Source organism: Homo sapiens, chromosome 14 (genome assembly GCF_000001405.40).
Source record: "Homo sapiens chromosome 14, GRCh38.p14 Primary Assembly".
Lineage (NCBI taxonomy): Eukaryota > Metazoa > Chordata > Mammalia > Primates > Hominidae > Homo > Homo sapiens.
Genome location: NC_000014.9, coordinates 77,840,566 through 77,866,876, shown reverse-complemented (window position 1 = coordinate 77,866,876; position 26,311 = coordinate 77,840,566). Strand labels below are relative to the sequence as shown.

The following is a 26,311-nucleotide window of genomic DNA, read 5'->3' as shown; positions in this document are numbered from 1 at the left end:
CTGCCCCGCTTCTGCTCTAACCACTTCCCTACTCCTAGTCCAGCCCAGGGCATGCTCAGCCCTGGATATAGCCCACACCCGGCCCCACCAGGACACTGTAAGGGAAGCTGAATCTGGCTGCCACCTTGCAAGTGAAGAGGGTTAGGTGAGTGGGTCCTAAATACAGCACAACCACCAACTCCATGACTACAGGCACCTGTGACTCCTTGTTGGCGATCTGGCCAGACTTCCACCTCCTCTCACCCCTCATCCATGGAATTAGCCCTGCCTGGAGACCAAGAGCACATACTTCAGAGTCCCTAATCCAGAGGAGAGCTGCCAAAGGGCCTTGGGAAACTGCAGCAATTAACCCTAACCAGCTGAGCTGCCCCCCAGGTAACCCCCCAAAGTGGGAGACAGAGCCCTAGAAACCCAGGCTGCCTGGGAGCCTGTGGGGATTTCTAAAAGTAGCGGGAAGAGGCTGACCAGATAGAGTGCTGGGTACTGATCAGGAAGAGGAAGAGAAAGGAGGATTATTCTAGCAAAACAGTACAGTCATGTGCCGCATAACAACATTTCGGTCAACAACGGACCACATATACAAAAGCGATCCATTATATTAATAATACCATATTTTTACTGAACCTTTTCTATGTTTAGACAGATAAATACGCACCATTGTGTTACAATTGCCTAGATTCAAGCCTCCCTCAGTCTCATATTCTGAAAAGAACAGGCTATACCATATACCCAAAGTATATTGTAGGCTGTCCCATCTAGGTTTGTGTAAGTACTCTATGATGTTCACACAGCAACAAAATCACCTAATGATGCATTTCTCAGAACATATCACCATCATTAAGCAACATATGACTGAATATGGGACAGAGAGCTGTACCAGTTATCAGAAAGCCCAGGTAAAGATGGAACTCTGCCATTTACGAGTCTCTCAGAACCCCAGTACCTGCTCATAAAAAGCACACAGCACAATACACAGAAAGAATTATTAACGTTTACTGCCCCTTGCCCTGCAGCAAGCTTGCACTAGATGCTCCACAATCATTAACTCAATCCATCCCCACAACAAGCCTAGGTGGCAGGTAGTGTTATGATTCCAATTTTAGAGATCGGGAAATGGAGGGACAGGACAGAGAGGTTAAGTAACATGCCCAAGGCCACAAAGCCAATATACCAACAGGCAGTTTGGCTCCTGTCTACCGCCAAGGCTCGCTATGAAGCTCCAGGCCGTGTGAAAGCAGACCGAGGGTACACATGTGAAATCCTGGCTGAGGGCCACATAGGGAATCATGATGGTTAATTTTACATGTCAACCTGGCTGGGCCACAGCACCCAGATACTGGGCCAAGCATTACTCTGGATGCTTCTGTGAGGGGTTTTGTTTTTGTTTTTGTTTTGATACGGGGTGTCACTCTGTCACCCAGGCTGGAGTGCAGTGGAGTGATCTTGCCTCACTGCAACCTCCACCTCCCGGGTTCAAGGGATTCTCCTGCCTCACCCTCCTGAGTAGCTGGGATTACAGGTGTGCACCACCACACTTGGCTAAATTTTGTATTTTTTTTAGTAGAGACGGAGGTTTCACCATGTTGCCCAGGCTGGTCTCGAACTCCTAACCTCAGGTGATCTGCCTGCCTCAGCCTCCCAAAGTGCTGGGATTACAGGCATAAGCCATCGCACTCAGCTGTGTGAGGGTATTTTTAGGTGACATTTACAGTTTGTTTGTTTGTTTTTTTAATTCAATTTTTTTAACTTTTTTTTTTAACAGAGATGGGGTCTCCCTATATTGCCCAGGTTTGTCTCGAACTCCTGTGCACAAGCAATCCTCCCATCTCAGCCTCCCAAAGTGCTGGGATTACAGGCATGAGCCACTGTGCCCAGCCAAGATTTACAGTTATATTAGTGGACTTTGAATAAAACAGATTACTCTCCATAGCATGAGTGGGCCTCATGCAATCAGATAAGGGTCTGAACAGAACATAGACTGACCTTCCCCAAGCAAGAAGGAATTCTGCCAGCAGGTAACCTTCAAACAGCCTTCAGACTTGAACTGCACCATCGGTTCTTCCTGGGTCTCCAGCCTGCTGGGCCACTCTGCAGATTTTGGACTTCCCAGCCTCTATAACCCACATCAGCCAATTCCTTAACATCAATCAGTCTCTCTCTCTCTCTCTAGCTCTAAATACACACACACAAGCAAACATGCATGCACAAACACACATACACACACACACACACACACACACATTCATATCCTATTGGTTCTGTTTCTCTAGAGAGCCCTGAGTTACACAGGAATGAAATCCAGCCCAGCTCTGGCCAACCTGCCATAGCCTGGAGGAAGAGATGCAAAAAGAGGGCACCTTTTACCCCCTCCCATCAAGTTCTCCATGGGACAACAGAGGTGCTGTGTGCCCCTCGCCCAGGCAGGCCTTCTCCTGCCTCATCTCTCCACTTCTGCCTTGTTCATGCTGGTCCTTGCGCCTACAGTGCCTGCTCTCTGCCTCTACCACCAACAAGTTGGATAAACAGTTTATATTCTTGGAGGAAAGGCTTCTTTATCTCTTTTCTGAACATTTGCTTAAACCTTGAGCAAACAAGACAAGCTGCCCTCCCACTGCACCCACAGGCTCTTACAAAACAACTGGATATGAATTATTCTACCCGTTGCACAACGGTACCCCTGCACCTTCTCTCTCCTTCATTCTCATTGAAACTCCAGTCAGATGGTGCATCAAGAACACAGAGCACCTGCAGCATACGCTTGTCCCTACGTACTATGGGGAGCTGTAAAATAAGTTCCCCTGGGAGGAAAGACCAGGGGGTGAAAAACTGATAAAAACAAATTTCAGAGTACAAAAGCCAAACCACACCACCCAGACACCAATATAAGCATTGCCCCTAACAGAGGTATTTCTGTGCTCCATGCCAGCAGCTGGCCTCATTTCCTTCAGTTTCTCATGGGATTTCAGAGGTGGACAGAACCTTATCTGATATAACTATATTCTAGGACAGAACTGGACCATTTCTTTTTTTTTTTCTTTTTGAGACAGAGTCTCACTCTCTTGACCAGGCTGGAGTCCAATAGCCTGATCTCAGCTCACTGCAACCTCCGCCTCCTGGGTTCAAGTGATTCTCCTGCCACAGCCTTCCAAGTAGCTTGGATGACAAGCGCCCACCACCACACCCAGCTAATTTTTCTATTTTTAGTAGAGACAGGGTTTCCCCATGTTGGCCAGGCTGGTCTCGAACTCTTGACCTCAAGTGATCCACCCACCTCAGCCTCCCAAAGTGCTGGGATTACAGGCATGAGCCACCACGCACGGCTTGGACCATTTCTTGAAATAGGCTGTAACAAGATCTGACTTGTCTGTATGTCATGGGGGCAGGTATAGATGTGTGTGTGTGTGTGTGCGTGTGTGTATGTGTGTGCATGACCAAAGATAACAGCATAGTGTGGCTGACAATTCAAAGATCATCCCTTAATTTCCACGATAACTCTATCCCCAAGCTTCCCACCCACTTCAAACCTCCCCATCTATATCTTCCTCCACTTTTCAAAGATGACCTCATCTCCCACATTACTAAATATTCAGCCTATTAGGCAAATTCCTTCAACCACCCGACCACATGCCCCACCCCACTCCGTATATCTCAGTCTCTTCGTCCTTCTTTTGATCAGGTCCCTCCCCAAGTCCTCCTCTCCCTCAGACTCACATTCTGAAAAGAACATTCTAGGCCCTTCATAATGTGACCTCAGCCCCAATCCTACAACCTCTGCTCCACTATTCACCGGCTGAACGCCACATTGTAATCAACAAGACCTCACTGTTCACCTCCATGCTTTATGCTTTCCTGTCCCTGCACCTCTGCTGAACCCAGCTTATTAATCAGTAATCACTTCCTCCAACATCCACCTCCTCCAATTCCATCCATCTCTAAGGGGCTGGGTCAGAGGCCACCTGCTTCAGAAAGCCTCCATCTGCCCAAGGCAACCTCTCTCTCCTCTGCAAGCTCGTTGGGCACTATGTGGCCATGTATTACCATGATGAGTGAACCTCCCATGACCCTGGACTGTGAGGACTGGAATGAGGTCGTACCCATCCCTGGCTACACCCAAATGTCCGGCACTGTCCTTTTTCACTAAATGCCAACCGCGTAGACCAGCAGGAGAGAGAAGGAATGAAGGAAAAGGTGCTGAAGCACAGAATCACTGGCCATCAGAGACTGCGGAGCATCAGAGAACTCCTAACTCCAATACCACGTCCTCCAACATGGAGTCAAGGGCTGAGGCACCCAGGGTGGTCAACAGCCTCGTGGCTGAGGCTATGCATGCCCATTCAGGGTGTAGAGATGTCAGCCTGCGTTCCTTCAACAGCACGAACCATGCCCAAGAGCAGAAAGACCCCCAGTCTCATCCACCTGGTCAGGGATCCCCCCACAAAGAGAAGGGCCAGGTCTTTACAACCATCCCTGACTTGCAAGCTCAGGCGCCATCTGCTGGCCAAGGTCAGCACTGCATCTGGACCCACAGCCCCAAGGGCAGTCAAGGGGACCAAGGCTGGGACCACCCCTGACCCAGTCCAGAACGAGGTCACTTTTGAGGAGGCAGAAACGACCCCACCTCCCAGAGGCTGGGCTCCTGATTGCTTCCTGGAACCTGTCTTTCAGGATATAAGCCTAACAACCAAATAAAGGAAAAAAAGTAAGTTTCTTTCTGGTAATACTAGCTGAGAAACTTCCAAGATACACACAGACACACACACAACTGCTTTTTTTCCTGCCAAACAGAAGCTGTTATGTAGGGGACGAATCACCAGCCTGGGAATTAGAGGACATGAGGTCTCATCCCATTGCTTGTCACCAGCCCTCCCTTAGCAATGTGGCCCCAGCGCACTCCCTGCCTGAGCCAATGCTATGCAAGGAGAGTGCCCCTTCGAGTGCCCTCACCTCTGCACTGATGGTGCCAGCTGATGTGCAGAAATTCTGGCTGATCCAGAAATGCATATGAACCGTGGGGTCCAGAAGTACTGCACCCTCAATCTTACCCCCACACCTATGCTGGGAATGCCCCACAGGGCCGGGCCCCACCTGCCTGCAACAGGGATGGGTCTGAGGACATAGTGACCTCTAACACTGCTGTTGACCATCCAAGCACCTCCCTCACCACACCACCGCTCTCTACAGTCTGAGCTTTAGGAGCACTTATGGAATCTCTGAGCTCAAGGTAACCTCAAAGCCTATCCGAGGACTGGGACCTAGGAAGGTGGTGAGGCATAACTGACAGCCTCTTTTAAGCCAGGGATGAAATGGAGCTTTCTGCAGAAGGTCTTAGGGCTGGCATGGAGCTGAGGATGAGTGGGGCCCACTCAAGCATCCTGGAGGCGAGACTGCTCCCCGAGAAGTGTCATGGGAGGGGCTGGAGGAGGCTGGAAATGCCAAGTGAGTGACATTACCCCGCCCTCACACCCCCACACGCACCCACCCTTCTTCCCACATGGCCCCGCTCCCCTCCCTCCACCCACACACTGGGAAAGTGTGTCACCAGGGAACAAATGCCATCTTCCAAGGGGGAGGAGGAGGAAGAGGGCAGGGAAGACAGAGTGTGTGCCTGTGGGGCCCTGGTAAGAACCCAGAGGGCTCTGAAGAAGCTCCCCAGCTGCGAGGGACACCCCTCAGAACCATGACATGGACAGTAGCCCATTTCCTCAGGGGTCTAAAGAAGCATTGTGGGGGCAGGAGCCACATGGCCACTGTGCTCAGGGCTAATCGGCAGGGGGTGGAGGGGACTGGAGAAGGGGCCCTGAAGATCAGGCGACGTCTTCCAACCCCAAACATTCTTTAGCCAGCTGGGTGGGCCACCATGACTGCTGACACTCCAAACTTCCCTCACTCCACCCTGGCTTGGGGACAGCCACTAACCTGCCCTTGTCCCACCTCCCTCCCCAGCTCTCCAGACAAGTCAGCCTCCAAGGGTTAACCTGCTGCCTCCTGCTCCTTGTTTCCACCCCCAGAGAGCTGCCACACGCCAGCAATGATGCACTTCACACTGTTATTACCGTGATTTATTTAGTTTTAATTTGGGGGTGAATCTCGTGCTGTTAGAAGCTGGGGGCCAAGAGTCTTGGCAAGAGGCAAAGCCATGAGTGGGCCAGCACTATGCCAATTCAGTCCCCTCTGCCTGGGGTCCCTCTCTCCTGACCCTGCTCCTCCCAGCTTGCAGCCTGCTCCCTGACTCCAGCCACAGTTCGGGTTTACCTTTCACTCAATGTCTCTCCCTTTGGAGGACATGTTCCTCAGTGGCAGAGGAGTCAGAGATGTTTCTATGTTCACCTGCTGTATGATCCAACCCCCGCTCCAGGCCAGGATATCACTGAGAAGTGGGACACCTTTGAATGGATGCTGCGTACCTGGGGCCAGCTCCACATTAAGGGACCAATAGTCAGTGCCAGCTCCCTGTAAAAAGGGAACCACTGGTCTTTATCAAACCTCTGCCCTACTCTCCTGGCCCTGCGCCAAGTAGCCTAACAACACTATTTCTAGTTCATCCATTGGCTCTTTAAGCAGACCCAGGGCACCTGCTAGGTACTGTTCCAGAGCTGTAAATACAGAGTAAAAGGACTGTCATGGTCTTCATCCTCAAAGACTATGACTTGCAGGGAAATCCTTAGACACAACTAATCAAGCCACAAGTTGCACAAGTGCAGGGAGCAAAGTTCTGCAGAGCCCAAAGGAGGGATAAGATCGGTCAAGGGAGGGTCACAGAAGACTTCCTAGAAGAGCTGGGGTTTGGACGGGAAACCCAGCACCTAGCACCCTGCCTGGGATTTGCTAGCTGGGTGGACAGATAGGCAGATGGCCTGAAGTCACTTGACAAGTAGAGAATGAAGCAAAGACATCAGGCAGATGGTAGACCACGGCACAAGCACTGAGGACTAAGACAACACAGTGAGTTTGAGACAGGTAGCACAATGGGACCAGAGCGTAGGGAAACAACAACCACAATAGTATAGAACACCATTACTATACAAATAATAGCTAATATTTGTTGAGCACTTGCTCTACATCAGGTACTATACTAAGCACCTTCTATTCATTATCCCGTGTAATCTGCACAGCAACCTTATGTGGTGGGCTATAGATAAGGAAAGTGAGGTGCCAAGATCAATCATTTGTGCAAGGTCCAAGCTCTTGGCTCTAGAGTCTAAACCACAGTGTCACTCTGCCCCACCAACTTACAGACAGGTAGGTTGAAACCAGATGGGATGGGGCTTCAAAGCCCTACTGAGGATAAAGCTTCAATAAGGCCTTAAACCTTCAGTAAGTGACATTTATTATTAGGTTGAACCATATGAATGATATATAGGTTTCAGGTCAATAACAGTCTCATATGAACTATTTCATATGGTTGAACTGGTATGTTTCACTGAGGGCCACTGAGATTCCTTCTAACCTCTTTGATTTCAGCACTGAGAGTGGCTGTGACATTTGGTTTTGTGTCACTGGTGGATCCCCAGCACCCTGGTCGAGGCTGCAAGAATTCAGCCGGGGCCTTTTCTGAAGCATCCCAACCAAGGCCCATCCCCCCTGCAAAGGTGGGTACCTCCTTGCCCAGATCTTCTCGGATGACCTGGCGGATCTCTTGCATGCTGCTCTGTGGAGCCTGGCTGTGCAGTACCTTCAGCGTGCTGGTGTACTCCTCTGGCAACAGGTAGTCCAGAGCCCCCAGGTGCTGGCCCACCTTGATGAAGGTGCCCCGGTTGGCACAGCAGAGCTCACAGAGACGCCTGGCAGAGCGAAGGTGCACCTGCAGGAAGACAGGCCAGGACCAGAGAGGTGTGAGTGCAGACTGTTCCCTACACCTTGTTCCCTTCACCTTCCTGCTCTGCTTGAAAACCCTCATTACCCCACAATGCCCAGGGCAGATGCATGCACACACACGCACACACACACACCTTTTCCCTTGGTGTCCAGCTTCCTGGTACACGGGGCAGTCAACTCCAACCTCATACAGAGGCCGCCCTTCAAACACGGCCCAGTGCTTCCTATCTCCTCCTCTTCATCAAAACTTACCTAGTCTGGGTCCCACTCCCTAGAAATAAGCATTCAAGGCTTTTAACCAAGTCTAACCTACTAATGACTCATTCAAGGGACACAGAGTTAAAGTATTTGCCACCCACCCCTCAGACATACCAATTATGCTTTGTTTGTTTGGATTGCTACGTTTTATAAAACATGGTCATATGTATGGTATCTTTTAATCTTCACAGCACCTCAGGGAAGCAAGTTTTGGTATCTTTAAAGAAGATAAACTCCGTCGTTTTGTTGCTAAGGAAATCACTAGGCCAGGCGCGGTGGCTCACGCTTGTAATCCCAACACTTTGGGAGGCCAAGGCAGGTGGATCATGAGGTCAGGAGTTCAAGACCAGCCTGGCCAAGATGGTGAAACCCCATATCTACTAAAAATACAAAAAAAAAATTATCCAGGCATGGTGGCGGGCACCTGTAATCCCAGCTACTTGGGAGGCTAAGGCAGAGAATTGCTTGAACCCAGGAGGCGGAGGTTGCAGTGAGCCGAGATCATACCACTGCACTCTAGCCTGGGCAACAGAGCGAGACTCTGTCTCAAAAAAGAAAGAAAGAAATCACTAATAAATATCAAAGGAAGGTCTAGAAAACACTCCAAAATCTAGGGCTCTTTAGTGCAGCAAACTTTAGCAGGGGTCTCCTATTAACTGGAGGAGTCACTGTAGTGGGGGGTATGAGGCACATGGAGAAGGCATCTGGGCAGGTTGCCTAGGACAGAGTAGCCTTAATTAACATCCGGATGCTCACCGGTCCTTCCAGAGTTGGGAGGTGGCCCCATCTGCCGCCAGGCTGCATATCCACAGTCATCCCCCCTGCCCAGTTGAGGGCCTTGGTACTATGAAGGTCCTACCTTCTAGGAGCTAAAGCCTCTGAGGCAGGATGGGGCCATGGGCACATGCAGAAGACAAGGGACCCCAGTACCCTGTGGGGACCTGGTACCTGCCTCCTCCCATCTCAGTCAACCAAGAGAGTGAACCACGAGGATGGACTTATACTCTTCAGTGCCACGTAGGACGCTGATGTAATAACACATATTGGGGGCCATAAAATCATGCGAGGAGTTAAATAACAGTTGACAACAAAGGTGGAAAAAGCATTCAAAGATCCTGTATAATTAGTTGCCAAGTGAACCACACAGGAAATTTAGAAATTAAGAAGTTTTTTTGTTTTCGTTTTTGTTTTAGCTCCCACATGTAAGAGAGAACATGTGATATTGGAAGTAGAGAGTGGAAAAACAGATAACAAACCAGCCAGTATGGGTGTTGGGCAGGCAGAGGATGAAGAGAAGTGGATTAAAGGGTACAAACATAAAGTAAACTTGAAAGGATAAATTCAATGTTTGATAGCAGAGGAGAATGACTATATTTAGAAAACTGTATTGTACTCAGGTGATAGCTACCCTAAATACCCTGACTTAATCACCACACATTATAAATGTGTAACAATTTCCCATGTACCCCATAAATTTGCACAATTTTTTTTGAGAAAGGGTCTCACTGTGTCTCCCAGAGTGAAGTACAGTGGCATAATCATGGCTCACAGCAGTCTCCATCTCCCAGGCTCAAGCAATCCACCCACCTCGGCCTCCCAAAGTGCTGGGATTACCATCATGAGCCACCACGCCCAGATCGCTGCTGCTCAGAAGAGACTGCTGCAGCCCTGAACACCCTCAACCCAGCAGCCAGAGGGCCCATCCGCCCACCTCCCGACACAGCAGAGGGGCTGTCTCAGACTCCAGGCACTAGCAGGCCATCCTTAGGCCTGCAGGGGCCTGTCCACTTCAAGCTTTGCTAGACTTTTTTTTTTTTGGAGACACCCAGGCTGGAGTGCAGTGGTGCAGTCTCGGCTCACTGCAACCTCCATCTCCCAGATACAAGCGATTCTCCTACCTCAGCCTCCTGAGTAACTAATTACAGGCGCATACCACCACACCCGGATAATTTTTGTATTTTTAGCAGAGATGAGGTTTCACCATGTTGGCCAGGCTGGTCTTGAACTCCTGACCTCAAGTAATCCACTCGCCGTGGCCTCCCAAAGTGCTAGGATTATGTAATGAGTTTTAACCTGCCTCATATTAATTAAAAGCATTGTCACAGCCAGCTTGGTTTGGGGTTTGGGAGGGAGGCAGTGAATAGCTAATAAGATCAACTCAGTGTTGATTAGTTATTGATTAGGTCAGATGGAGTCAAAGCCCAAGGAGGGCAATCCTTTACCATATCTAAAGCCCCAAGAGCAGGGGCCCTAGTCCCCAAGCTAGGCAGAAAGGTATCAATGTCACACTGAATCCATGGGACTCCCCTTCAGAACTGGGCAATATCTCCAATGGGGCTTAGGGGTGTGTAAGTGTCAGAGTGGAAAGAGACCATCAGACAGTCATACATACACACCCCACACACAGAGAGACAGGCAGACATGGAAAGAGAAGGCAACAGACCCCAAACTGACCTTTGATTAATTCTTCTAGTCAGAAACTTAAGCCCTAAAGGAATGAAACATTAACAGTGTTATCTCTGGGCTGTGAAATTATAAGAGTATTTTTTTCTTCTATATAAGTTTTTCTGTATTTCCCAAATTTCTTTTTTCTGGACACAGAATCTTGCTCTGTCGCCCAGGCTGGAGTGCAATGGCGTGATCTCGGCTCACTGTAGCCTCTGCTTTCCGGGTTCAAGTGATTCTCCTGCCTCAGCCTCCTGAGTAGCTGGGATTACAGGGGCCCGCGACCACGCCTAGCTAATTTTTGTATTTTTAGTAGAGAAGGGGTTTCACTATGTTGCCCAGGCTGGTATCGAACTCCTGAGCTCAAGTGATCCACCCACCTTGGCGGGTGTAATCCCAAAGTGTTGGGATTACAGGCATGAGCCACTACACCTGACCTGTATTTCCCAAATTTCTTATGAATAATAAATATTATGATAATGGGGGAAATTTTTTTATCATCCCTTTTCAGCATCTTCTGAAAATGGAAAGTCCAGCTGATTACTTTTTTCAGCTCTAAATGGACAAGATTCTGCCACGCAGACTAGACCAGCTTTGATTAGAGAGAATCCAGCATCTCTTTCCTAATTTGGCAGGGTCCCATGGCACACATGTGTACTGTCCATCAGAAAAATGAAATTGTAACCCCTCATCCCCAAGAAATCAGGCCCACACTGTCCGCAAGGTCTCTTTTCTAGATGCTAATCTTTACGTTGTCATTTAGACAGCAAAGTAAAGCTCATCATGTCTTAGGGGAAAAAACAAGTTGCAGTTTGTAAACATATTAACAGAGTTTAACCTCAGACTGAACCCCACCCTGACCACACATGGGATAGTTCTGCAGTTAAGAACACAGGACTTCAGAGTGTCTCAGGCTACATCCCAATTTCACCACATAGAAGCTGGTGGACTTGGGCAAGTTACATAACCTTCCCCTACTTCAGTCTTCACATCTATAAAAGTAAGATAATAATAGTACCTACACCTCATAGGGCTGCTACGAAGATTACATGGGGTATCCATTTAGCCAGGGCTAGTGTTTCCATACTTACTACAAGGGGATTGGGATTTGTTTCAATCACGCATGGTAAGACACACAAACACAGAAATGATTACCATGAAAGCAGAAGCCTTTACTCACAAGTCTCTAGAAATAGACGGCATGATGGCATGCCATGCCAGGCCACGTGGGGAAAGAAGCACCAGAGTCAAAGGCAGAGGGGGAAAGCAGGAAAATGTGGACAAGAGTCTTTGCTGCTATTCCATGCGAAGGAAAGGTCAAGGCAGGGTAAACAGGATTAGGACTGGTTAGTTGGCATGGGAGCTCTCCCTACTTGTCTACTACCTAATGATGGGGCAATTAGGGCAGAAGAATAGTAGTCCAGAGTTCAAGAGCCTAATAAAGTAGGTGGTTGTGAGGTAGGGCTCTGAATTTGTTGATTTGCATATGAAAAGCACACTCCTGTGAGTGGGTGGCTGACGCCTGTAATCCCAGCACTTTGGGGAGCCAATGCAGGTGGATCACCTGAGGTCAGGAGTCCAAGACCAGCTTGGCCAACATGGTGAAACCCCGCCTCTACTAAAAATATAAAAAAATTAGCTGGGCATGGAGGAGGGCACCTGCAATCTCAGCTACTCAGGAGCCTGAGGCACAAGAATCACTTGAATCCAGGAGGCGGAGGTTGTAGTGAACCAAGATCACACCACTACACTCCAGCCTGGATGACAGAGTGAGACTCCATCTCAAAAAAAAAAAAAAAAAAAGCCCACTCCGAAGAGAGCTGCTACCTCTCTAAGAATTAGTTGACCCTGGGAGGAGCGGTCCCTCCAATGCCAGCAAAACTTCAAGATGTCAAAGCACCAGAAAATATAGAAAATAAAAAACAGGATTAATCCAATACTCTAACTATACTCCCTTGGGGATCTCATCCAGTATCATGGCTGTAAATACCATCTGCACATTGATACACACAAATGTGTATCTCCTTCCCAGACCTCTCCTCTTACTGGAGCTTGCTGATTACAACTGCCTCTCTAACATCAATTACTCCAATATCCAACAGGCTCTTCAAACTTAGCCTGACTTTCCCACCACTCCCACCACCACCAAACCTGTTCTTCCCAGTCTTCTCCATCTTAGAAAATGGCAAGGCTAAACTTGGACTTTTTCAGGCCATAAATCATGATGTCAACCTTGACATTTCTTCCAAAACAGGAGCTAAAATTACCTTCCCATCTGAAAAAACTGGACAGCATATATAAAACAATGGTGTTCAAGACACTTGACATTAGGCAAGGAAGAAGAGTGATTCCTGAAAGATGAGAAAGAAACAAGGTGACAAGGTGAACATGATGAATGCCCCAGTTCACTGCATTGGGAGTTTCCAGGCTGAAGTGGCAGGGAGGGGAAGCCAGGCAGTGACCAGAAGACTCCTCAATTGAGGAGATACAGCTGAGAGTCCAGAAAGAGTTCAAGGGACAGAGCAGTGAGGAGAGAGCTGTACAAAAAAAGAACACTAAAGATCTGCAGAGACCCCACCGCATATACAGCTGAGTACCAATCAGCACGTGCATATCCAAAAATTGTCTGAGTCCAGGAAAAGAATAACCCAAAAAGCTTAGGGTTAACAGTACCCAGCATTCACACAGGACCTATTTCCACCAGCCAAGATGAAAAAAATCTCATAGTTCATGGGACATTTGTGGCAACACCCAGAAGGGCCTTGCGTCAGTAATGGCATATATCCCAAAACAAATACTGTTCCATTCCCATCTAACAAATATTAAAAGCAAGATCCAAAAAAAGCAAACTACTTCAGGTAACTTAACTGTGTCCCAGAACAAAGCTCAATATTTATAAGAATACAAAAATATCTACCACCCTAAAAATAAAAGCACAATGCCAGGCACAGTGGCTCACACCTGTAATCCCAGCATTTTGGGAGGCTGAGACAGGCAGATCACCTGAGCTCAGGAGTTCAAAACCAGCCTGGGCAATATGGCAAAACTCCATCTCTACATAAAATACAACAATTAGCTAGACACGGTGGCATGCACCTGAAATCCCAGCTACTTGGGAGGCAGAGGCAGGACAATTGCTTGAGACCAGGAGGCAGAGGTTGCAGTAAGCCAAGGCATGGATGACATAAAAGAGACAGAAAGAGAACCCTATCAAACTTTTAGAGATGAAAAATGTAATGCATGAGATGAAAAGCACACAAGATGCAATTAATGGCAGATTAGACATTGCAGGGGGAAAAAAATATCAGGCCAGGCATGGTGGCTCACACCTGTAATCCCAGCACTTTGGGAGGCCAAGGGGGACGATGGGTTGCCTGAGCCAGAGATTTTGAGACCAGCCTGGGCAACACAGCAAGACCCTGTCTCTAAAAAAAAAAAAAAAAAAAAAAAATATATATATATATATATATATATACACACATAAAAGATTAGTGAACTTGAAAACCTGGCAATAGAAACTATTCAGAATGAAACACATAGAAGTAAAAATAATTTTTTCTTACTGAAAAGAACATCAGTGAACTGTGGAACAAATTCAAGCAGCCTAGTAAATATGTAGTTGAAGTCCCCAAAGGAGAAGAGATGAGGAGTGAAATATATATATATATATATATATATATATATATATATATATATATTTATTTATTTAAAGAAATAATGGCTGAAATTTTTTCAAATTTGATTTTTTTTAAATGTATAAACTAATAAATTCAAGGACCTCAACAAGCCCCAAGCACAAGAAACATGAAGAAAGCTACATAATATTTTTAAACAATTTATACAGAGAAAAAAGATACAGACAGAAGAATAAAGATACGAATGATGGCAGATTTTTCACTGGAAACAATATGAGCAGAAGTTAGTATAGCAACATCTCTGAAAACAAAGAATTCTAAACCCAGCAAAGAAAATTTTTCAAAAATAAAGGTATAAAAGTTCTTGCAGATGTAGGAAAACTGTAGGAGATAACATCTCCTGCACTACAAGAGATGTTAAAGAACTGGCCAGGCTTGGTGGCTCATGCCTGTAATCCCAGCACTTTGGGAGGCCAAGGCAGGTGGATCACGAGGTCAGGAGTTTGAGACCAGCCTAGACAATAAGGTGACACCCCGCCTCTACTAAGAATATAAAAATTAGCCAGGCGTGGTGGCGCGCACCTGTAGTCCCAGCTACTCTGGAGGCTGAGGCAGAAGAATCACTTGCACCCGGGAGGCAGAGGTTGCAGTGAGCCGAGATCGCACCACTGCACTCCAGCCTGGGCAACAGAGCGAGACTCTGTCTCAAAAAAAAAAATTAAATAAATAAATACATAAATAATAAAGAGCCTTCATCAGGCAGAAGAAAAATGAAACCAGATAAAAATATGAATCTATATAAGGGAACAGAGAGACCAGAAATAGCAACTTTATGAGTAAATATACAAGAACTTTTTTATATTTTATATCTCTTTAAAAGACAAATGATTGCTTAACCAAATTATTAACAATGTAATGTGGTGTTTATAACATAAAAGCATGTATTACATCAATAGCATAAAACTTCAGAAGCAATGAAAGTATACGATTTTAAGATTCTTATACTCTTTGAAGTACTATAATATCACTTAAATATAGACTGACAAGATGTATACTATAAACTAAAGCAATCATTAAAGTAACAAAAAGAATTATAACTCATAAACCAACAAAGGAGGTAAAATACAACCATGAAAAATACCCAATCCAAAAGAAGGCGTGATAAAGGAAACAGGAATGAAGAACAAATAGGACAAACAGAAAACGAATAACTAGAACAAAGACATAAATCCAACCTTATCAACTATCCCTAAACACCCTAAGTAAAAGTAAGAGATTGTCAAACTACTCTTAAAAAGACCCAAATATGGCCAGGCGCAGTGGCTCACAGCTGTAATCCCAGCACTTTGGGAGGCCAAAGTGGACAGATCATGAGGTCAAGAATTCAAGACCAGCCTGACCAATATGGTGAAACCCTGTCTCTACTGAAAATACAAAAATTAGCCAGGCGTGGTGGCACGCACCTGTAGTCCCAGCTACTCGGGAAGCTGAGGCAGAAGAATTGCTTGAACCCAAGAGGCAGAAGTTGTAGTGAGCCAAGATTGTGCCACTGCATTCCAACCTGGGCAACAGAGCAAGACTCTGTCTCAAAAAAAAAAAAAGACCCAAATGTATGCTGCCTAAAAGAAACGCTCTTCAAATATAAAAACACAAATAGGTTAAATGTACGGAGTTGATGCAAAAGTAATAGCTGTCTTCATTAAAAGTAATGGCAAAAACTGATTACTTTTGCACCAACCCAATAGAAGGATAAAAAAAAAGATACATCGGGCCGGGTGTGGTGGCTCACACCTGTAATCCCAGCACCTTGGGAGGCCAAGGCAGGCGGATCACAAGGTCAGGAGATCGAGACCATCCTGACTAACATGGTGAAACCACATCGCTACTAAAAATACAAAAAAAAAAATTAGCCAGGCGTGGTGGCGGGCACCTGTAGTCCCAGCTACTCGGGAAGCTGAGGCAGGAGAATGGCGTGAATCCGGGAGGTGGAGTTTGCAGTGAGCAGATATTGCGCCACTGCACTCCAGCCTGGGTAACAGAGCAAGACACCATCTCAAAAAAAAAAAAAAAAAAAAGATATATCATGCCAATGCTAATCAAAAGAAAGCTGAAACAGCTATATTTATAGCAGACAAAATTGATTTCAGAGAAAAGAATATTATCAGGGATAAAGAAAATTATTTCATAACAATAAAGGGATCAATCCATCAAGAGGATATACCATCCTAAACATTTATGCACCCAATAACAGCTTCGAAATACATGACGTAAAAAAACTAATGAAACTGCAAAGAGAAACAGAAAAATCCACATTATAGGCAGAGATTTCAATATCTTCTCAATACATGATATAACAAATAGATAGAAAATGAGTTAGGATATAAAAGACTTGAACACTATCAACCAATCTGAACTGGCATTTATAGAACACTGTCCAACAACAGCAGAATATACATTATTTTCAAGTATAAGAGGAACATTTGCCAAGAGAGACCATATTCTTTCTGTTTGTTTTTTGAGACAAGGTTTTACTGTGTCTCCTAGGCTGAAGTATAGTGACACCATCATTGTTTACTGCAGCCTTGAACTCTTGGCCTCAAGGGAGTTTCCTGTTTTGGCCTCCCCAGTAGCTGAGACTACAGGCACACACCACCACACCCAGGTAATTTTTTAAAATTTTTTGTTGAGTCAGGGTCTCACTATGTTGCCCAGGCTGGTCTCACTATGTTGCCCAGGCTGGTCTCAATCTCCTGGCCTCAAATGATCCTTCTGCCTCAGCCTTCCAAAGCACTGGGATTATGGGCATGAGCCACCACATGCAGCTGACAGACCACATTCTGAGTCATAAAGCAGATCTCAGTAAATTTAAAAGGATCAAAATGTATAAAATATTTTCTCTGACCACAATGGAACCAAAGTATAAATCAATAACCAAGAAATCTCTGGAAAATTCCCAAATATTTGAAAACCAAGGCCGGGCTCAGTGGCTCATGCCTGTAATCCTAGCACTTAGGGAGGCTGAGCTGGAAGGATCACCTGAGGCCAGGAGTTCGAGAGCAGCCTGGGCAACATAATGAGAGCCCATCTTTACAAAAAATAAAAATGAAGAAAAATTAGCCAGGCATGGTGGCATATGCCTGTAGTCCCAGCTACTTGAGTGGCTGAAAGGTGGAAGTACTGCTTGAGCCCCGGAGGTCAAGGTTGTAGTGAGCCATGATCATGTCACTGCACTCCAGCCTCAGCAACAAAGCGAGACCCTATCTCAAAAAAAAGAAAGAAAACTAAATAACACCGTTCTAAAGAACTCATAGGGCAAAGAAGAATCAAAGGTAAATTAGAGAGTACCAGTTGGCCAGGCAAGGTGGCTCATGTCTATAATCCCAACATATTGGAAGGCCAAGGCGGGAGGATTGCTTGAGGCCAAGAGTTCAAGACCTGCCTAAGCAACATAGAGAGACCCTGTCTCTGCAAAAAATTTAAAAATTGCTGGGTGTGGTGGCATATGCCTTTGGTCCCAGTTACTCAGGAGCCAGAGATGAGAGTATCCCCTGAGCCAAGGAGTTTGAGGCTGCAGTGAGCCATAATTATGCCACTGTGGCCGGGCGCGGTGGCTCACGCCTATAATCCCAGCACTTTGGGAGGCCGAGGCGGGCAGATCACGAGGTCAGGAGATGGAGACCATCCTGGCTAACATGGTGAAACCCCGTCTCTACTAAAAATACAAAAAGAAATTAGCTGGGCGTGGTAGCGGGCGCCTGTAGTCCCAGCTACTCAGGAGGCTGAGGCAGGAGAATGACGTGAACCTGGGAGGCGGAGCTTGCAGTGAGTTGAGATCATGCCACTGCACTCCAGCCTGGGCGACAGAGTGAGACTCCGTCTCAAAAAAAAAAAAAAATTACACCACTGCACCTCAGCCTGGGCAACAGAGTAAGACACTCTCTCAAAAAAAATAAACAGGCCGGGCATGGTGACTCATGTCTTTGTAATCCCAGCACTTTTGGAGGCTGAGGTGAGAGGATCACCTGAGGTCAGGAGTTGGAGATCATCCTGGCCAACATGGCAAAACCCTATCTCTATTAAAAATAAAAACATTAGCCAGGCATGGTGGCACGTGCCAATAATCCCAGCTACTAAGGAGGCTGAGATAGGAGAATTATTTGAACCCAGGAGGTGGAGGCTGCAGTGACCCAAGATCGCACCACTGTACTCCAGTCTGGGCCACACAGCAAAACTCCATCTTAAGTAAATAAATAAATAAAATAAAATGCATGAAGTCTTTCACACACATTATCTCACCTGACCCAGGTAAAAGCCCTTGAGATAGGTACTATCATTCTCCTCATTGCACGGATGCAAGAACTTGGGCTCCAAAAAGTTAGAGGTCTTACCAAGCTTACTCAGCCAGTAAATAGTAGATTCAGGGTTTGAAACATTGCCCTCTAATTGCAAAACATCTGTCTTTCTCTACACTCTGCTGCCCATCCACACCATTACACATTCCTTGTAAGTGAGAAGAAAAACATCCAGGCCGGGGCTCATGCCTGTAATCCAAGCACTTTGGGAAGCCAAGATAGGAGGACTGCTTGAGGCCAGGAGTTCGAGACCAGCCTGGTCAGCAAAATGAGACCCCCATCTCTATTTATTTTAAAAAATTTTTAAAAGAAGAAGAAAAACATCCAGGTGGCCACTACCCACTATGGGGCCCTCAGTGTTGCCCTCCCCGGTTCCTCACAACACCCACCCACCCTGGTCCCCAGCTGAGCCCCAGCTAAGTCTCAGGGTTAGGCCACACGGCCACCATGGCTCTGGCCACGTCTGGGCTCCCGGGAACTGTTCCAGTAAGCCAGAAAACAAACTCTGAGATTGGGAACAAATTCATGAACACACAGGGGGATCTGGAAGGCCTCGTTATAGAAACAGATTGGGAATCATTGTGAGAAGGAAGCCAGGGAAGCCCTAGAAGCATGGGGTCTCTGATGACAGCAACTGGGCCACACTAGAGGACTGTGCAGCCCAACAAGGCAGGGCCAGGAAGGGCAGCACACTGGCCACAGTGGGAAAAGGGAAACAATCTTCAACGATAACCCTTCAAAGGTCCTCACTGCCTCACTGGCCCTGGTATGAAGTGGGTTTTTTGTGGGGTTTTTTGTTTGTTTGAGACAGTCCCACTCCATCACCCAGGCTGGAGGGCAGTAGCAGGATCTCAGCTCACTGCAACCTCCACCTCCTGGGTTCAAGCAATTCTCTTGCCTCAGTCTTCTGTGTAGCTGGGACTACAGGCGCCTGCCACCACGTCCAGCTAATTTTTGTATTTTAGTAAAGATGGGGTTTTGCCATGTTGGCCAGGCTGATCTCGAACGCCTGACCTCAAGTGATCCACCCACCTCAGCCTCCCAAAGTGCTGGGATTACAGGTGTAGGCCACAGCGCCCAGCCTGGTATGAAGTTTAAACTCCTGACAGGCCCATACAAGGCAGCCCAGCTGTCCTGCGGCTTCATCTCTTACACTCCCCACCTCACTCTCTACCCTCCAACCACAGTTATCAGCTCTCTCCTGTGCCATCCCCTGCCCCCAGGCCCTTGCATAGCATCTCCATAATCTCACCACACCACTCTCCTTTTCACCTGCGAAAAATCCTCTCAGCCTGGACCCAAGCCTGCCTCCCTTCACCTCCTCCTAGTCCTGACTTGACCCATTCTCCGTGCCACGCCTCTCCCCTCTCACAAGTGATGTTACTGCCTTCCACAATCCCAGGATGAAGGGCAGAGCAAGGAGTTCCTTTCACCCAGTGTGGCTCAAAATCCTCTTTTTGTCTGAGCCTCTCTTGGAGAAGATGGGGCTTCTGCCCATGCAGCAGCTCCATGGATATGATCAGCTTCTCCGCTTCGGGTCCACAGAAGAAAAAGCAGGGGAGCAACCCTAGACATGGCCAGGTTGCAACCAAACGAGTCTGGGACCCAGTGAGAGACCCAGAGCAACAGAGCTTTCCAATGTCAGGGACAATGACTTGACCGTTCCCCAGTGGGAAGGCCTCCTTCCCACCAGCCCCCACTCTGCCCTTTCTCAGCAGGGATCAGCTGGGCAGATCACTAGAGGGTCTCTGTTGGAGGATCCAGAACAGGGGTTTTTCCCAAAAACCAGTCAGGATATGGAATCACAGATGATTCACTCAATGAGAGCCACCTGCCCATCACAAGACACCCAGAAAGCCCTCCACAGTCCTGTCTTGAATCATGCAGGGGTCAGCTCAAAGCCCCATCACACCAGGCCTGGCTTCCAGGACAGTCATGGACTCCGACTGCTTCTCAAGGCTTCCCTGGGTCCCCCTCAGGGTCACCCAAAGGGAACTGTTACCCAGGGTCCTGCATGGCTGGATTAAGATGGGGAGAGGACCATAGCATAGCTTTGGGTCTAGGCTTTGACTAGGCCCTGCTTTCTAAGCCTATAGGAGAGGCAGCTGTGAGAAGACGGGGGTGGCACCAGCTGGCTATTGAAGTCCAGTCTAAGAACGAGGTTCAGGGTAGGTGGGAGAAGATACACTGGCTTAGGGGAGCAGAGATGGTCGGAAGGAGATACTATAGTGATGTTCTGGTCAGAGGAGCAACTAAGCAAAATGGCCAAGAGAGGCCCCATGTGGCAGCTGGTTCTTGGGGAACCACAGCCAAGCCTCCAGAGCTGCATCACACACCCAAACCAAAATGAACTTCTGGAGTGTGAAGTACGATAGCAAAAGCTGCCCCAGAGCCACAGGTAGTTACAGATCCAGCACCATCTCACACCTGGTTATTAGTACTGTGGGACTTTTCATTATGAAATTGCAAATTCCAGGAGCACTTCAAACCCAAATGATTCCAGAGCATACCATGGAAAAGAAAGAGAAGCAGGTATTTCTGACAGGCAACTCTGAGGGATACTGCAGAGGGAGTGAGCAGGGGATGATTTTGTGTCTGTGTCCACCAAGAATCTAGAAAGATAAAGCAATTTAAAAAGGAACATTTTGGCCAGGTGCGGTGGCTCATGCCTGTAATCCCAGCACTTTGAGAGGCCGAGGTGGGCAGATCACTTGAGGCCAGGAACTCGAGACCAACCTGGTCAACATGGTGAAACCTCATCTCTACTAAAAATACAAAAATGAGCCGGGTGTGGTGATGCATGTGCCTGTAGTCCCAGCTACTCAGGAGGCTGGGGCAGGAAAACTGTTTGAACCCGGGAGATGGAGGTTGCAAGGAGCTGAGATTGTGCCACTGCACTCCAGCCTAGGTGACAGAGCAAGACCCAGTCTCAACAAAAAGGAAGAAAAAAAAAGGAACATTTTAATTGAGCTACTATCATGGATTAAGTATTTACTATGTGTTAGGCCCTACTCTGAACCCTTTATACATGTATTTTCTCATTTATGGTAGGCATAATTATTATCCTCTCTTTTAAAGATGAAGTTAAGGCTCAGAAAGGTTAAATGGCTTGGCTAAGGCCACACAGCTTATTAGTGGCAGAGCTGGGATCTGAATCCCGGCAGTCTAACTCCAAGACCATAATGAAATACCTCTTAGAATACCAGTATAATTCAGAAGAAAAAGTTTTGAATCAAGACTCAAGGGACCTGGATTCTGGGACAATTCTGCCAATTACTGCCCCTACTTATGCAATCCTGAACAAATCATCTCAGCTTGTTGGGCCTCAGCTCATCTGTAAATTGAGAAGTTGAGCAGGGTCAGGAATAGGAAGTGAGTGCATATGCGCCTCTCCTCTGTTACTGTGCCCGTGGCACACATCAGACATCACTAATCAACCACAGCACGCACTCTGAGTCCAGGTGACGACTTGCCTATTCTCCAACCTGCACTCAGACAACCACTACTAATCAAGTGGAGTTTGCAAATGAAATGTCTTTGCTTTCCCAGAGCTAGATGTTTCTAAGGTGTCTTCTGACTCTTAAAAACCTATAACTGTTACTGGGGTTCTAAAGACAAAATTTTAATTCTAGCCCCAACTCCAAGTAGATTATTGTCTCTATGCCTCAGTCTTCCTTCTGCAAGATGGACAGTCTGTCACACCATCATCTATGTGGTCAGCTCCATTTTCTCCCCTGTCCCAATGAACTACACTCCAGGCCAACGCCCAATCTGAGTTACACAGACCGAGTCTGCTCTTGGTGGACCTGACGGGGCCGGCTCCCCACACTGCCTCTCTAAGGGAGTCCAACAGGGGGGAGAGCTAAGACCAACGCCACTGACATGATAGGATGAAGGGACACCGGTTCCTTTGCATTGAGCACTGTTTCCAGAAGGTTCCAGTCAAAATAAGAATCTTCCCTAGAGGTGGTAACATAAGAAATTATGATCAGGCCAGGCGTGGTGGCTCACATCTGTAATCCCAGCACTTTGGGAGGTCGAGGTGGTTGGAACACGTGGTCAGGAGATCAAGATCATCCTGGCCAACATGGTGAAACCCTGTCTCTAGTAATATACAAAAATAATTCACCGGGCATGGTGGTGTGCGCTTGTAGTCCCAGCTACTTGGGAAGTTGAAGCACAAGAATTGCTTGAACCCAATTGCTTGAACCTCCAGGCAGAGGTTGCAGTAAGGGGAGATCACATCACTGCACTCCAGCCTGAGCAACAGAGTGAGACTCTGTCTCCAGAAAAAAAAAAGAAAAAAAGAAATTATGATCAGTCATTCACATCCTGGCAGGAGTTTCTTTACCTGTCTCTTTCCAGCCAGAGCAACTAACCTAGAGCAGATTTCTATGAAATGGGACAGTTTCCAAATGTAAGTTCTGTTTCAGAGAAGCCCATCCTAAAAGGAAGGTGGCAGATGGGGGTATCTGGAGAGGGCAGTTGCTAGTGGCTAAGAAAGCTTAATGAATAAAACATACAACACAGCTGCCAAGGATACTTGCATTTTAATAGAGAACAGAGTTTAAGCGAAAGGAATTACTTTCTAATGGTGGAATTACAAGCATCAATAATGATTTAGGGAAGAATTAAGCAAAGAAAGTTGTTCCAGCATCCCTGAAATCCCAACAAATGAGCTGATGTGACTGTGCAAGCCCTCAGCAAACAGCAAATGGGCTGCAAATTTAAGGGATTAATAATATTATTACTGGCAACTTGTGACTCTGCCTGCCAGTGAGCAAGCCTGCCATCACACAGACAAACCCAGATGCCCACAGGAGCCCAGGACATGTACTCTTTGGTCTGGAAAGCATCCATTTGGGAACCCAGTTGCCAGAAAAGCTGAAGAGGACCCTTCCCTCCATCTGCCCCTTAATCACACACACTGAGAAGATGCATAATTAATTTGTTCTCAACAGTTGTTCAGCGGCTAGAAGAGTGAGGGCATCTCTGGAATGGCAATTACAGTCAAGAAAAACAAGTGTTAGGCCGCGAGCAGAATGCAGCAGCCAGCCTGCTTCCCTTCCCCACCATGCTTGCTCAGGCCACAGGCCTGAATGTGGGACAGGAGTCTTTTTCATTTCCTCAAAGCCTGGGGCTCTTGGGGGCTGGTGGGAAAGAATAGAAAACAAAACTCTGGCTAGACAAGGTTACTCACGCCTGTGATCCCAGCATTTTGAGATTCTGAGATGGGAGAATCACTTGAAGCCAGGAGTTTGAGACCAGCCTGGGCAACTTAGTAAGACCCCATGTCTACAAAAAAAATTTTTTAATTAGTTAGGAGTAGTGGCACACACCTGTGATCCCAGCTACTCAGGAGGCTGAGGCAGGAGAATCACTTGAACCCAGGAGGTGGAGGATGCAGTGAGCCATGTTTCAGCCACAGCATTCCAGCCTGGATGACAGAAAAAGACCTAGTCTTAAAAAAAAAAAAAAAGAAAGAAAGAAAAGAAAAGAAAAGAAAAAGAAAAAATACCCTCGACCAGGCACAATGGCTCACACCTGTAAACCCAGCACTTTGGGAGGCCAAGGCAGGTGGATCACTTGAGGTCAGCAGTTCAAGACAAGCCTGGCCAACATGGTGAAACCTGTCTCTACTAAAAATACAAAAATTAGCTGGGCGTGGTGGTGCATGCCTGTAATCCCAGCTGCTCTGGAGGCTGAGGCAGGAGATTTGCTTGAACCCAGGAGACGGAGATTGCAAGATTGTGCCACTGCACTCCAGCCTGGGTGACAGAGTGAGACTCCATCACAAACAAACAAAAAAAAATAGAAAGGAAGGAAGGGAGGAAGGGAAGGAGGGAGGGAGGAAATGAAGGAAGGAAGGAAGGAAGGAAGGAAGGAAGGAAGGAAGGAAGGAAGGAAGGAAGGAAGGAAGGAAAAAAAAATACCCTGAAAGATACAGGGAAGAAGGCCTCACTCTAACCTCAGAGAGACAGCTAAAATAGGCACAAAGCTCAGGGACAATGTGAAGACCAACAGGCAGCACATTTGGCGGACAAGTGAACACACATAGAAATTAGATGAAATTAAAGAACTCCTGTTAATATCATTAGCTGAGATAATCACATGATAACTTAGAAAAATATCAGTTTTTAGAGATGCACACTGAAATTACAGGTGACATGCCATGATTTCTATAATTTGCTTAAATTTGTCAGCAAAAAAAATAATAATAATAATGAAAGAATTATGGCAAATTTTTTGTTTGTTTGTGTGTCATGTTTGATTGTTTTACAGAGACAGGATCTCACTCAGTCGCCCAGGCTGGGGTACAATGGTGCCATCATAGCTCTCTGCAGCCTTGAACTCCTGGGCTTAGGCGATCTTCCTGCTTCAGCCTCCCAAGTAGCTGGGACTACAGCTGGTCTAGAACTCCAGGCCTCAAGTAACACTCCTTCCTCAGCCTCCTAAAGTGCTGGGATTACAGGCATGAGCCACCATGCCTGGCCTGGCAAATTTTTTTTTTTTTTTTTTTTTTAAAGAGTGTCACTCTGTCACTCTGTCACTCAGGCTGGAGTGCAGTGGTGTGATCTCGGCTCAGTGCAACCTCCATCTCCCAAGTTCAAGCTATTCTCCTGCCTCAGCCTCCCAGGTAACTGGGATTACAGGCACACACCCACGCCTGGCTAATTTTTTTTTTTTTTTTTTTTTTGTATTTTTAGTAGAGATGGGGTTTCACCATGTTGTCCAGGTTGGTCTTGAACTCCTGACCTCAAGTGACACACCCGCCTCAGCCTCCCAACCAAAGTGCTGGGATTACAGGCCTGAACCACTAAGCCTGGCCTGGCAAATTTCAGATCTAGGTGCCAGGTATAGGGGTTCAGCCTATTATTCTCCACACTTTTTAATTACATTTGAAATTTTTTATATAGAGTTTTTTTTCCCCTAAAGATCCAATAGCAGATCCCAGCCTGCTGTTCCTAACTCTTCACTGCCACGTAGGAGGCCCTGTGTTCTTGACCTGAGCTCCCAGGGTTCCTCCAGGCCAGTGGTCCATACAGCATGGGGTTCCGTGTTGTTCCGTTGACCTGTGCCAGTCTCTCTCGTCTCATTTTGTACCACATGCCCTATCGTTCACTCTAGTCTATCACTCGGGCCTCCCTCCATGTCCTTCAGTGAGCCAAGCTCATTGCCACATCGGGGCTTTTAGGCTTGCAGTTTCCCTCTCCAGGGCTGGCTTCAAGGGCATGCAGCTGCCCTGCACTTGGGAAGGCCTGAGTGTGTGGTTTAATGCCCTGCAGTCACTGTGGAAGTCAGAATAATGCCCTTGCCACCTGAGATGTACATGTCCAGCTCCCTGGAATCTATGAATGTGTTACCTTACATGGCACAGGGAATGAAGATTGCAGAAGAAATGAAGGCTTCTTTCTTTCCCCTTCCTTCCTTCCTTCCTCCCTCCCTCCCTCCCTCCCTCTTCCCTCCCCTCCCCTCCTCTCCCCTTCCCTTCTCTCCCTCCCTCCCTGCTGCCCTTCTTTCTTTCAGATTGAGTCTCACTCTGTCGCCCAGGCTGGACTGCAATGGCACCATCTCAGCTCACTGCCACCTCCACCTCCCTGGTTCAAGCTATTCTCGTGCTTCAGCCTCCCAAGTAGTTGGGACTTCAGGCGCACACCACCATGCTTGGTTAATTTTTGTATTTTTAGTAGAAACAGGGTTTCACCATGTTGTCCAGGCTGGTCTTGAACACCTGGCCTCAAGTGAACCACTCCCCTCAGCCTCCCAAAGTGCTGGGATTACAGGCGTGAGCCACCACACACGGCC

At 47.1% G+C, this 26,311-nt stretch overlaps 1 protein-coding gene across 14 annotated transcripts in view, besides 1 other annotated feature; it reads right to left on the bottom strand.

The window, feature by feature from the left end:
- ADCK1 (aarF domain containing kinase 1) overlaps positions 1–26,311 on the bottom strand; it is a 134,906-nt gene that overhangs the window by 68,138 nt on the left and 40,457 nt on the right. For 11 of the 14 annotated variants that reach the window (NR_158989.2, NR_158987.2, NR_158988.2 and 8 more), the window contains one exon: positions 7,598–7,801. The exons of 1 other annotated variant lie outside the window; for it this stretch is intronic. Coding sequence is in view for 10 of the 13 variants with exons in the window: in NM_001366487.2 (NP_001353416.1) it covers positions 7,598–7,801 (204 nt within the window). In the remaining 3 variants the exon portion in view is untranslated. Of the gene's footprint in view, positions 1–7,597; positions 7,802–10,527; positions 10,562–16,083; positions 16,100–26,311 lie in introns of those variants that run through there. 2 more of the 14 variants (XM_047431611.1, XM_017021477.2) reach the window with 2 other exon arrangements.
- Positions 4,237–4,436: an enhancer, noted in NCBI's record as "active region_8815". NCBI's record gives its function as "activates an Ori minimal core promoter by ATAC-STARR-seq in GM12878 lymphoblastoid cells {active_cell/tissue: GM12878}" and the evidence as "EXISTENCE:reporter gene assay evidence [ECO:0000049][PMID:35858748]".